Source organism: Homo sapiens, chromosome 5, assembly GCF_000001405.40.
Source record: "Homo sapiens chromosome 5, GRCh38.p14 Primary Assembly".
In the NCBI taxonomy this organism is placed as follows: domain Eukaryota; kingdom Metazoa; phylum Chordata; class Mammalia; order Primates; family Hominidae; genus Homo; species Homo sapiens.
Genome location: NC_000005.10, coordinates 76,530,660 through 76,543,983, shown reverse-complemented (window position 1 = coordinate 76,543,983; position 13,324 = coordinate 76,530,660). Strand labels below are relative to the sequence as shown.

At 43.1% G+C, this 13,324-nt stretch overlaps 1 protein-coding gene across 5 annotated transcripts in view; it reads right to left on the bottom strand.

The window, feature by feature from the left end:
* The window catches only part of IQGAP2 (IQ motif containing GTPase activating protein 2), a 304,848-nt gene that overhangs the window by 164,149 nt on the left and 127,375 nt on the right, over positions 1-13,324 (bottom strand). Inside the window, exon 1 of one of the 5 annotated variants that reach the window (XM_024454336.2) lies at positions 430-811. The exons of the other annotated variants lie outside the window; for them this stretch is intronic. Coding sequence (XP_024310104.1) covers positions 430-569 — 140 coding nt within the window. The 5' untranslated portion in view covers positions 570-811. Of the gene's footprint in view, positions 1-429; positions 812-13,324 lie in introns of those variants that run through there. 5 annotated transcript variants of the gene reach the window in all.

Genomic DNA, 13,324 nt, shown 5'->3' with positions numbered 1-13,324 from the left:
AGGAGTTTCCAGACAGATAGTTAAGTACCATTTCACCTGCCTAACAATTTCATTATTGTTCTGTATTGACATAGACATCAGAAATAGAGAAAACTTCTTTCTGCGGCACACCCTAATGGGGGGAAATGTAAGTCAACCTGACAAAACAAAAACAAAAACAAAAAACAAAAAACCTCGTCCCATCTACCTTGAGAAATAAAAGACAAGTGGAGCTTTTAGGAGGGAGGGGCAAGATGAAGCCAGGAAACAAACTGTTACAAAATAAGAAAATACAAGTCCAAACTCACAACTGACTACTATGCCCAGTCAGGAAAAAGAAGACAGATAAGAAGAGATTGATGGATGCAAAAAGAAACTGGCTGAGAAGCAGAAGACAAACACATGCACCACAGGTTTCCCTGACAGGAAGCACAAATCATTGGTACTGACTTGGTGACAACGAGGTTCCCAGCTCCATCTCCTGGGCAAATGATCAACAGCTCCTCAGAGAAACATGCTGGAGGGCCGTGATGCCTGAGAGTGAAGGCAAGGAGGCCGGTCCACCTAGGCTCTGAGGCCCGCTTGCACATTTACGTCCCTCCAACCATCATCAAGCACTGGCTCTTGATCACTGAAATGCTTCACCTTTAATGAAGTCATTAGCGACCACACAGAGAGACGGGCTGAAAACCACAAGGGGTGTCATGCGAAGGTTTGAGGGAACAGGAGCTGGTTATAAGAGAACTCTATTCCACTCTGGCGTTCTTGAGTTTCAGGAAATATGGCTTGAGCAGCAGTACAGCCAGCTCTGTGCAATAACAAATCATGCTGCGAGGGTGTTCTGGGCCGGCTTGGGTTTCACAATGCCTCCATTTCATGGCTGTGACGCAGCTTCACCCTACACCTTCCAGTACTGATTATCTGTAAGACACAGGATCTGAAGCGGCCAATTATCATCTTCACAATCTAAACAGCTACAGCCATTGCTAACTGTATTTCCTGACCACAGACATGAAACATTTGTATTTCTTGTGCCTTAATTCTAGCATATACAAAGACTATTAAATGAATGGGCACACACACAGATATAAAGTCCTTACATATGTGAAAAGATTTCTCTATAACGTAAACAGTGGATACAACTAGCAAGCAGAGGCCTACAATTAGGTGGCAATGACAGAAGAGCCACTCTATGTTAGAATGTGGCAGAGCTAAAAGGGTGTATCTACCTGATGGGCAGATGCAAAACATGATATCCAATTGTTCCAGGTATGAGGAGACAAATTTAATGCAACTTTTAACCAGTAGAAACCAATCTGTTGATAAGACCTGTCCCTCAAGGGGCTCAAGGGATGCAAGGATAAATGAAGAGATTTCAGATTTTATCAGGAAAGAAAGTGTCAGTGGAGGTATTAAGTAGCTAGGTAGAACAGAAGTATTAGTCATATCTAATCACCTCGATTATTTATATAAGTTGGAATAAATCCAAACTAACTTTAGCCTCAGAAAATCCACTCTAACAGGGCGGGCTTGGAAACAGATACCTGCAGGGGTGAGGCCGGTACCGGTAAGGAACGAAGCTGGCTGGGTGGGGGCTGTAAGCAACTTGGCTCTAGCTCACAGCTACTTGTGGAAATGTGGACCACAAGGGCCTGACCTTTGGGATTTCTTGAAAAGTGGAAGATTCAGATTTTTTATGAGTTCTTCTGTTTTTTTAAATGCTCACAACTAACTGAAAAATAGTGGCCGGGCACAGTGGCCCATGCCTGTAATCCCAACACTTTGGGAGGCCAAGGCAGGAGGACTGCTTGTGCCCAGCAGTGTGACACCATCTCTATCAATTTTTTTTTTTAATTAGTATGGCATGGTGTTGCATGCCCATAGTCCCACCTACTCAGAGGGCTGAGGTGGGAGCATTGCTGCAGCCCAAGAGGGTGAGGTTTCAGTGAGCTGTGATTGCACCACTTCATGCTAGTCTGGGTGACAGAACAAGTCGCTGTCTCAAACACATACACACATACACGCACACAAAAAATAAACATTCTGCACGTTGAATCAAATACATCTAAAACTCTTATTACAGTATTTCAAAGGAGATGAAACTATGCTCTGCATGTTCTCATATAAGTGAAGGTTGGCTATGAGTTTATAGCGGGGGAAAGCTGCTCTTTCCAGCATTCTTGAAAAGTAGAGCTTTCTTAATGACAAGCAGGTATATAAAAGTAGAACTGGGACACCAGGGAAATGCACATCAAAACTGTAATGCAATATTACTTTATTAAGATGGCTACTGGTTTTAAAGAAACAGAAAATAACAAATGATGGTGAGGATGATGAGAAGTTGAAACACTTATGAACTGTTAGTGGGAATGTAAGATGGGGCAGCCACTGTGGAAAACAGTTTGGTGGCTCCTCAAAAAGTGAAACGTAGAATTACTTTGTGATCCAGTATAGGTATTATAATATCCCCAAAGAATTAGAAGCAAAGACTCAAATATATACCTGCACCCCATGTTAACTGCAGCATCAGTCATGATCACCAAAACATGGAAACAACTCACGTGCCCAGCAACAGATGAATAGATAAACAAAATGTGGTATATATCCATACAATACAAAGTTATTTGGCCACGAAAAGGAATAAAATTCTGATAAATGCCACACGATGAAACTTGAAGACATGACACTAAGTTAAAAAGTCAGATGGGCACCAAAGGACACATATTCTATGATTCCACTTATATGAGGTATCTAAAGTAGGCAGATCACAGAGGCAGAAAGTAGAATAGAGGTTACCAGGGGGCTAGGAGGAGGGGGAATAGGGAATTATTTTTAATGGGAACAGAGTTTCAGCTTTGCAAGATAAAAATTTCTGGAAATGGAGAATGATGATGTTGCACAATGTTGTAAATGTACTTAATGCCACTAGATTGTCCATTTAAAAATGGTTAGAATGGTAAATTTTACATTATATATATTTCATCACGATAAAAAAAAGAAAAGCTGTGATATGTGTAGATTAGGTAGGTGTCTGTCAAAAGGAGTGCTTTTCTTACATGATGGCTTTTTCTGCAATCAATACAGGAATAAGCACTATCACTCATTCGACATTAGAGTCTGGCTATGCCCTTGATGAAGTGTTGAGGCCTTCTTACTCCATGGGAACCTTGCTGCTCTAAAGGAATCTTCCCCGGGGCCATCATGTATGGTTGTGTAGGTGGCACACTGTGCACCAGAACCTAGCCCAGACCAGCCTGTGTGCTACAGGCCAGGTCCTGTGCCTGGAGGAGGGAACATCTTTTCCTTCTTGAAAAGGCACTATAGGCCAAGGGTAGCCCTGATGTTCCGCACCCTCAAATTGGTCTTTTCTTCTAACTCCCTTACTTCTGTTCATGGTACCCTCTCCTTTCATGGATCCCAGATTAATGCTGCAAAGTCATTCCCTGTTCTCATTCCAGTCCGTTGTTGGCTTCCAGCAACTCTGTGCCTCTCTCTCATTTCATCCCCTCCTTCCCACTACCACTGCCACTTACTGTGGTCAGGCCCTTTGACCTCTGGTCTGAACACTGACCTATAATCTAGTGCTCCATACCTCCAACTCCTCTTCCCCTGGATGATCTAGTTTCCATACTCTGCCACCAGATTAACTTTTCCCAAAAAGAGCTAGCCATTTCACTCATACCCTCCCAGTGGTTTCCTTTTTCTTTCTTGTATCTACTTAATAAATGAACAATGAAATAGATTACCTGAACCTAATCATCAACTCTGCTATTTAAAGTAAGACTTTCCATTTATTTTGACCGTCCATTTCTTAGGTGAATATGAAGAGGAAGCAGCAAGTCAAACAATCCATCCAAGAGAACACACCTTTATATTTCTAAGTCACTGGCATAGAGTCAGGAGGGGGAAACTGAAGAAAACTTGGGGCGCTTTGAACCTCCAATTCCTGCAGCTAATTAAAATGATGTCCATGGAGACCCCTACCATACCTTTCCAAGGTGAAATACATTTTAAGCCTACTGATCAAATCCGACACAAATGCCAGTAAGTATTAGTGTGGTCCTGCCCTCACTCTGCTACTGCAGGAAAGGATGCACAGGAAGAACATCCTGGGCACTACAGAAAGAGAATATTACTAATATCCTTAAAAAGGATATTGTTAAATGGGCTGTTTCCCTTATTTTTAGAATACAGCCAAGGCCAAAGCTGAGCACAACAGGGCTAAGTACCCTACTCAGAAAGCCATAAACAAGTAGGGTCAGACACTGCCCCCTATGGCTTCCCCAGGAGGTCAGAGGACCAGTCTTACTACCTGACCACAGCCCCTCTTCCCATGCAAGGACAAGGAGAAAGGTTGATGTTGGCTTTATGGGGAGGGCAAGGTTCTAGTGCAGGTTACTGTCTGCTTCCCCAACCAGGTAGGGGTTGGGGGACTTCCAAGAGAATCACTAGGAGAGACTAGGATACCTGCAAGAAGGAGAGATGAGCATCTTGCTCCTAGTCTGACTGCTGGCTGAGCTGAAGACTTCACAGTTTCCCGCTCCCTTCCAGGCTGGCACTGCAGCAGAACGGAGCATGTCAGGGAGTAGGGGGAACTTGGCATCCAGTCCCTGGAGTGGGGGCACACCCATGAGCATGAGACTGGTACCCATTTTTGAGTCAGAGATTCGGGAGTGGCAGGCCCACTGAGGGAGCCACATGCAAGCAGAGCCTCAAGGGAATGTTCCAGGAAAGAAGACTGGAATATTCCCGCTCCAGTTCAGTTCCCTACAACCCCTGGACAGAGAGACAGGACTGCAGTAACTCACACAGTTCCTTTTGAAGGAGTGTTGAGGTCAGAGGGGCAGGAGCCCTTGGGCTGCCAGGCAGCTGATGGGCCAAGCACCAGGACACTCACTAGAAGGAGGAGTTGAAGCCTGATGGGGCATGAACACCCAGCAATACCAAAGGGGGACACTGCTGTCCTTTGCACAGGCTGCTCACAAACGAGGCTGAGGTAAAGCCAAACACAGCCCCAAGAGAGTCACACATCACCTGAGCAGACACCCCACCATCAGAACAAACCACACAAAAGCAGCAGGCTACGAGAGGCACTTTCTCACCACCAACTCCGCTTGGCGAGTTAAATAATTACTAGTCCCTTGCTCCCCATTTCCATCCTCTCCTCTCCACCCCAGCATCCCAGAGGGCCTAGAGCTCAGAAGAGAGAGTAGGAGAGGCACAGAAGATGAACTGGATGTAACATTAGGAGATTTGGAAAGATGAAAGAATGATAGAAGATGCCCAATCCACCATTCAGAGACTGGAAGGGGGGATTTAACAGGGCACAGTGGTAAGCAGTGCCTAGAGAAAGTTAAACCCATTTCATGTTTTTAGCCCCAATGAATTGAGTGAGACTCCTTAAGAAACCAGTGATGCTGACACAGAGCTAAACACACATCAATTATAAACTCTCTCTAGATCAGCTGGGTGCAGTTGAAAAACAGTCCCAACAGAATTGTAATCCGGCTTGAGGCAGGCAGAGGTCAGCTCTGGGTCCCTCATGGCCACTCTCCATGGAGCAGACTCAGACTACCTCCATTGCCCTGGAAGAGTACGTGGCAGCAGCCTGGACTCAATGGCTCTGCACTTAAACCTTACCCCCCCTTGATATGGATTGGCTGTGTCCCCACCCAAATCTCATCTTGAATTGTCACTTCCACAATTCCCACATGTCGTGGGAGCGACCCAGTGGAAGGTAATTGGATCATGGAGGCGGGTCTTTCTTGTGCTGTTCTCGTGACAGCAAATAAGTCTCACGAGATCTGATGGATTGATAAAGAGGAGTTCCCCTGAACAAGTTCTCTCTTGCCCGCTGCCATGTAAGAAATACTTTTGCTCTTCCTTCATCCTCTGCCGTGATTGTGAGGCCTTCCTAGCCGCATGTGGAACTGTGAGTCTGTTAAACCTCTTGCTTTATAAATTACCCAGTCTCAGGTATATCTTTATTAGCATCATGAGAATGGGCAAATACACCCCTCCTCTACACTCAAATACAACATCTACTTTGTAGCAGGCAATATGCATTACTTTATCTAACAGCTCTGCAAAGCAGTGGTGGCACCCCCATATTACAGAGGTTACTTAATCTGGGTGCTGCCCCGAGGGTCCAAATTGTGACACCAGGATTCCAACAAAGTCTGACTCTAAACAAAATACATGCTGGTTCTAGCCCATCACACAGACCTGCATGTTGATAGAAGATCAAAGATGGGTAAAATGAGCCCAGAAAAGAGCTGCAAACACCCATAGTGATTTTAGAATTGGCAGCTGCTCACAAGTAGTCTAAAAATGCAAATACTTTTATTTACATTTTTAAATCATTAAAATCCAGCATTGTGATAGGATATTATAATAGAAAAACTAAGTCAATATTTCCACCCTCTTCCCGAATAATTCAGGAACAATACCAGTACTCGACAACTACAGTCTGACCTTTAGCAGAAAGACAAAAGCACTATTGAAAAAAAAAAAAAAATAGTTGTGAACAGAATGCACCAGAACTCAAACTTGCCAAGCTGTCTGCACTTTGGAATTTTGCAGTGTTTAATGTCAAGAGTCCAAAGTTGGCCTTGTGGGTCCCTCTGAAATAATACCTTAATATCACTATTACTACCCAGCTCTATAGGTGGCATTTGAGATAATCAAAAGTGGCTGGAAACCACTGCACATTATACTATTCCGGACAGGCCTTTATTAACCTAACCTTTTAAAAGCATAAACCAGGAGACTTATCTTAACCAAAATTATCTCAAAGTCAACTTCCATTGGCCGAATCACTATGCAAATATCAGGGCTCTGAGTCATTGAAAACTGCTGAAAGGAATTTTGTTTAGTAAGCATAAGATCTTTTTTCTAGAAACGTAAACTGTGTTTTAAAAGGTGTTCACAAACTTTGCCCTCAAGATAGCTTTGGTACAGAACTTGCCAAGTAAACTTATTACAAATGAAAATGACAGCAAACAATTTCAGAATATCCCAAACTACCAAATTCCCACAGCCACTATTCTTCCCTCAGTGATACTAGAAGGGAAAATTCTATATATTTATGTCTTCAATTTTCAGAGTTAAGGAACTTCACAATTTACACCTCTTATGCAAAGCTCTGTCCGGTTTCTGAATCATTTTCCACAGGTAAAAAATAAGTGGAGAAGGAGATAAAAAGCCAAAAGCCATGTCTTACCAAATTTTTTTTTTTTTTTTTGGAGACGGAGTTTCACTCTTGTTGCCCAAGCTGGAGTGCAATGGCACAATCTTGGCTCACTACAACCTTCACCTTCTGGGTTCAGGTGATTCTCCCTGCCTCAGCCTCCAGAGTAGCTGGGATTACAGGCGTGCACCACCACACCTGGCTAATTTTGTATTTTTAGTAGAGATGGGGTTTTGCCATGTTGGTCAGGCTGGTCTTGAACTCCTGACCTCAGGTGATCCACCCACCTTGGCCTCCCAAAGTGCTGGGATTACAGGCGTGAGCCACCGTGCCCGGCTGTATTACCAGTTCTTTAAAAAAGAAAAAGAAAGCAGCACACAATTTAACAGGAAGTCTTTTGCCCAAACCATTTTCCCTCCAAACTGTTTAAGAATATGCTCCTGGAAGCCAGGCGTGGTAGCTCACGCCTGTGATCCCCGCACTTTGGGAGGCTGAGGTGGGTGGATCACCTGAGGTCTGTAGTTTGAGATCAGCCTGGCCAACATGATGAAACCCTGTCTCTACTAAAAATACAAAAAAATTAGCCAGACGTGGTGGCTGGCACCTGTAATCCCAGCTACTTGGGAGGCTGAGGCAGGACAATCGCTTGAACCCAGGAGGTGGAGGTTGCAGTGAGCCGAGATTGTGCCACTTCACTCCAGCCTAGGTGACATGAGCAAAACTCTGCCATCTCAAAAAAAAAAAAAAAAAGAATATGCTCCTGGAAAGCCAGGTAAATGGGTACGTGCTAGGAGAAATAAATAGTTCTAAGGAACAAATTTAATGTTAATGTTATTTCCTTCTCCTAGTTTATGTTTTCATCAACCACAGCCAATAAGAACAAAAAACAATTCTCTTAATTCCCATCACCATCCCTACTCACCTCCTCTAGTCATAAATACCTGCTGCCAGTTTTGTTTCCGACATTCTCTGTAATTTACATTGTATTAAGGTTAACAAAGCCTTTGAGTTAAAGAACAGGTTACTCTGGGCGCACTGCCGGTAGGGTAGCCCTGCTCTGCAAGAAGCAGTCTAAACAAACAAACAAACAAAATAACAGTAGTAGCTACACAAGCTTAGCTTATCTTTACCTCTCTGCCTAGACCACAGGAGTCATCATCAGCCTTTTTATGGAACAGGCAAGGAGAAGCTTCTCAGGGACTGACTCAAGCCATTTTGTCACACAGACCCAGGGCGTGCCGCATAGCAATCACACAGGGTCCCATGTTCGTTGAATGCTCTGCTGTTGCCATCTTGAAATTATTTTATTTTTGCACAAGAGGTCCCACGGTTTCATTTGGCAGTGAGGGCCCTGCAAATTAGGTAGCTGGTCCTGCACAGAGCTGATTTAAAAAAAATTTTTTTGTGACATGGGCATTTTTGAAAATGTTTCATTTTATACCATACCTTACAGGGCTTTTACTCTAAACAACAGATGTTCATTTTTTTTTTATACTTTCAAATCCAATAAAGGCAAAGTATCCCTCACCTGTATCACTGCAACAGGTTTCTAGATTATTTTTTTCTGGATTCACTCTTGCTTACTGTCAATCTATCTTTACACAGCCAACGTTCTCATCTAGTACAAGCCTGATCTTGTCACCCTGCTTAAAATCCTCCCACAGCATCTACTGCCCTCAGCATCATGCCCAGTGCTTTCACCTGGACCTAGGCCCTGAGGTCCAGCCCTGACCTGGGGCTTGGCCTCACTCTACTCCCTACCTGCTGTGTCCCTACCTCACCAGCCTTCTTTCTGCTTCTAGAACATGCCACGCTCCAACTTCATAGCCTTGGCACCTGCCCAAGGGACAAATACTTTAATGTATGTCCAAGGATTTTGATAAAATAAAGGTGGAACAACCAAATTCAACTGATAGTCATTATTGGTTTTAATTTCTTAAAAGAAACACAAGAGGGTTTAAAAGACTCACACTTCTTAGTAAATGTTTTTCACTCACACTATGATTTGGGCTACTTCCCCAGTGGAAAGGATAATAAGCCTTGATCTGACTGTGAAACGTAGGACAATAATGGGGAGATGTAGAGAAGGTCAGTTTTAAAGTTTTTCAAATCAGGTTAATCAGGCCTTAAAGGCATCTTCATGACCTTCACTGATCCCTGACACACAACATTCCCAAACAGCTTGGAAGGGTTGGGGAAAACAAGTATTAATGAGGATAAATAAATCATAGGCTCACTTTAAAAAAAGAATATCTCATGTTCTTTGAAGAGACTTAACTATTAAATCTGATAAAAGATTCATAGAGAACGTAATTATGTAGAACCTTTTCTTGTTCAGAAAAATGAGTAAGTTGCCTACAACTGTTTTCTCATCCAGATAATCACAGATTTTAGTTCTGCCTGTATGTAAATGTTCTGATAGTAAAACCGGTCAAAGGATGTTGGGTGTTCACTCCTACAGGGGGCTTTCTCAGAAGGGTATGTATCTTCTAGACTGAGAAGTCATCTAACCTTGATCAGTAGGATGTTTAGCAATTATCTGTCATTCTCCCCACTCCAGCCACTTTAGCCCTTTGACTACCCTTATTCTAGTGGCCACACACCATGCTACTGGCTTTCCACAAACAGTGTTGAAATAACTAGCTCTCCATGTGGGAAAAAATTAAGTTAGAGTTCTACTATTCATGAAAATATCCCTGATGGATTAACCCTCAAAACACTGTAAAATGTCAACTATTACAGCATGAGAAGAATATATAGGAGAAGGTGTTTATAACCCTGGAGAAGGATGGCCTTTTTAAGCCAGACACAACACAAAGTCATTATTCATCGTGCCTTTGATGTAGTCCAATTTCCCAAAGTTAAAAGACAAGGCCAAGCTGGGAGAAAATATTTGCTATGTAACAAAGGGTTCGTATTCAGAATATATAAAGAATTACAAATCAATAAATAGAGACAATTTTTAAAATAATAGGGCAAGCCAGGCGCGGTGGCTCACGCCTATAATCCCAGCACTTTGGGAGGCCGAAGCAGGCGGATCATGAGGTCAGGAGATTGAGACCATCCTGGCTAACACGGTGAAACCCCGTCTCTACTAAAAAATACAAAAAATTAGCCAGGTGTGGTGGGTGCCTGTAGTCCCAGCTACTCGGGAGGCTGAGGCAGGAGAATGGCATGAACCCAGGGGGCAGAGCTTGCAGTGAGCCAAGATCGTGCCACTGCACTCAAGCCTGGGCGACAGAGCGAGACTCCATCTCAAGAAAAAAATAAAAAAATATATATATATAAATAATAGGGCAAAGGACTTTAACAGGAAATTCATGGAAAGAAAAATTAAAATGCTCAATAAATATATAAAGAACTGCCTAGTAAAGAAAAGTAAAATGGTGAGATATATGTGTCTTTTTCCTTCAAAAGCCTGGTAAAAACATTTAAAGATCAATTTTGTAAAGTGTTGGCAAGCGTGTGGCATGTACCTGAGACCCCGTCGGTGAGTAATTTAACATTCTACTGCACCATCCCTCTATCATCCAACAATTCCACAAGTAAGTTTCTAGTATACACATGATGAGGATGCTACACTGCAAGTTTTGGCTCTAACACAAGATGCTAGCAATATCAGATACCAAAGTGAGTTAAAAAAAAAACACCCATCTGCCCTTCAAAAAGGAGATAACTAAGAACTAGGCTTAAGCTCCTCTCCCACAGGGAGGGTCAAGAGCAAGATGTGAGGGAGGATTTCTTTGGAAAGAGCTGCACTGAGATCCCCATTCAGCACCCTCTTCCCATTGGGGAAAGAGTAGGAATATCAGCTTCTTACTTCACAAGCCGGATTTCAGTGAGGCCAGTTGGGGGCTTGATTTGAGTGCTCCACCATTAAAGAGACACAGAGAGGTGCTGGCACCCCTTCTCTGGGGACCTGGAACATGAGAGGCAGTGTGGCTAGCTGCCCTGGTGGCATGGGAGTGAAGGGAAATTGCTGCTGCAGTGGGTCTGGGCCATCCTCTCAGAGGCTGTGGGTGTTGGGGCAAAGAGTGCCTGATGTTTCCAAGGGCACGGAGTGGTCCTCCGACAAGAACGAGCCAGTCCAGGGCTTGTTTCAGGTCCAGTCCTCTAGGGCTGTCTGAAAGGGCAACATGATCACAGTGGCAGGACTGGTGGTGGACCCCTAGACTCCCAGAAACTGACACAGATGACAGAGTCTTTGAAGAACCCTCATGAGCACCCCATGAGATAGTCAGCTTTAAACCTTGACCACGCCTACAGGATAGGAGGCTGTCTTACCACCATATCATATGCAAAGGGTTTTCTATCACCTTCTACCCCCCCACCCACCCAATCCTCAGGAAAGCATGGCAAAAGAAAAATGCTGACCTGTGTTCTCCAACATGGATCAAGTAGGAAAAAAAAGCAATTTTCATTATAATCTGTAGGATATAACATCCATATGGGTTTTTTTTCTTTTTCATCTTATAATGATAAGGTCTTGTTATGTTACCCAGACTGGACTCAAACTCCTAGCCTCAAGCAATGCTCGCAATTCAGCCTCTTGAGTATCTGGGACTATAGACATGCGCCAGCATGCCTGGTCTCATATGGTTTCTATTAGGAAACATACTTCATGAACATTTATTTACATAAACACACAGAAAATGATTACAAAACATTGATAGCAATGGTTGCCCGCAATGAACTGAATGCTTATGTCCCCCTCAAACTCCTATGCTAAAATCTTAACCCAGAATATGACAGTATTAGGAGATATGGCCTGTGGGAGGCCATTAGGCCATGAGGGTGGAGCCCTCATGAATGGCACTAGAGAGATCCCTGGCTCTGTCCACCAGGTGAGATTACGTGAGCAGACAGCCATCTATGAGGAAGTAGACCCTCACCAGATACCGAATCTACCAATGTCTTGATCTTGGACTTCCCAGTCTCCTGAATTGTGAGAAATAAATTTCTGTGGTTTCTAAGCCACCCAGTTTATGACATTTTGTTATAGCAGCCTGGATAGACTAAGACATTATCTCTGGGAAGGGAAGAAGTATTGAGTGGAGGAGACAGGGTCAAATGAGAAATTCAATTTATCCATATTATTTTAAAAGACAAAAATATAATCATGTATTCTTTGAATAATTAAATGCACTTCTTTTTAAAAAGACAGTGTTCCGAGGAACAGAGCCTTCTATAGTCTGAATATGTCCTCCAAATTTGCATGTTGGAAACTTAATCCCCAATGCAGCAGTGTTGGGAGGTGCAGCCTAATGGGAGGTATTGACGTCATAACGGTACAACCCTCATGAGTAGATTAATGCTGCTATCAAAAGAGCTTGAGCTAGCCTGGACAACATAGCAAAACCCTGTCCCTCAAAATAAATAAATAAATAAATAAAAATTATCTGGGCATGGTGGCACACACTTGTAGTCCTAGCTACTCACGTGGATTGCTTGAGCCTAGGGGTTTGAAGTTACAGTGAGCTATGATCATGTCATTGCACTCCAACATGGGCAACAGAGCAGAGACCCTGTCTCTAAAAACATTAAAATTAAAAAATTAAAAAGGCAAGCTTGCAGGAGTAGGTTCTCTCTCTTCTGCCCCTCTGCCACCCGAGGACATGGTGTTCTCCTCCAGAGGATGCAGCATTTAAGGCACCATCTTGGAAGCAGAGAGACTGGGCCCTAACCTCCTGGTACTTTGATTTGAAACTCCCAGCCTCCAGAACTGAAAGAAATAAATTTCTGTTCCTTACAAATTACCTAGTCTTGGGTGTTTTGTTATAGCAGCACAAAATGGACTAATACAGAGCCCATCTGTCAGTCCTAATTACTAAGCAAGAATCTGCAAAAGTTCTAATCATTAGCACACAAAACACCCCTTTGGGCTGTTCTGTAAAAATCTGACTGCCATTTTTCAGCTTTCTTTACAAAATGTTCCCATTCAAGTGCATTCTGAATGGATTCTTAAAGTTTACAGGATTCACAGCTGAAGTGACATTGTTTTCTTAATTTTAAGAAATGCTTTATGTGGTTTCCTCTATCAGCAAGGACAGGAAGAAACAGGACTTTACCAGAAGAAAACTAAGATGTACATCTGGAAATAAACTGACACATGGAGAATAAAGAATCACTTAGTAGTGAACAAAAAGGAAATTAGAA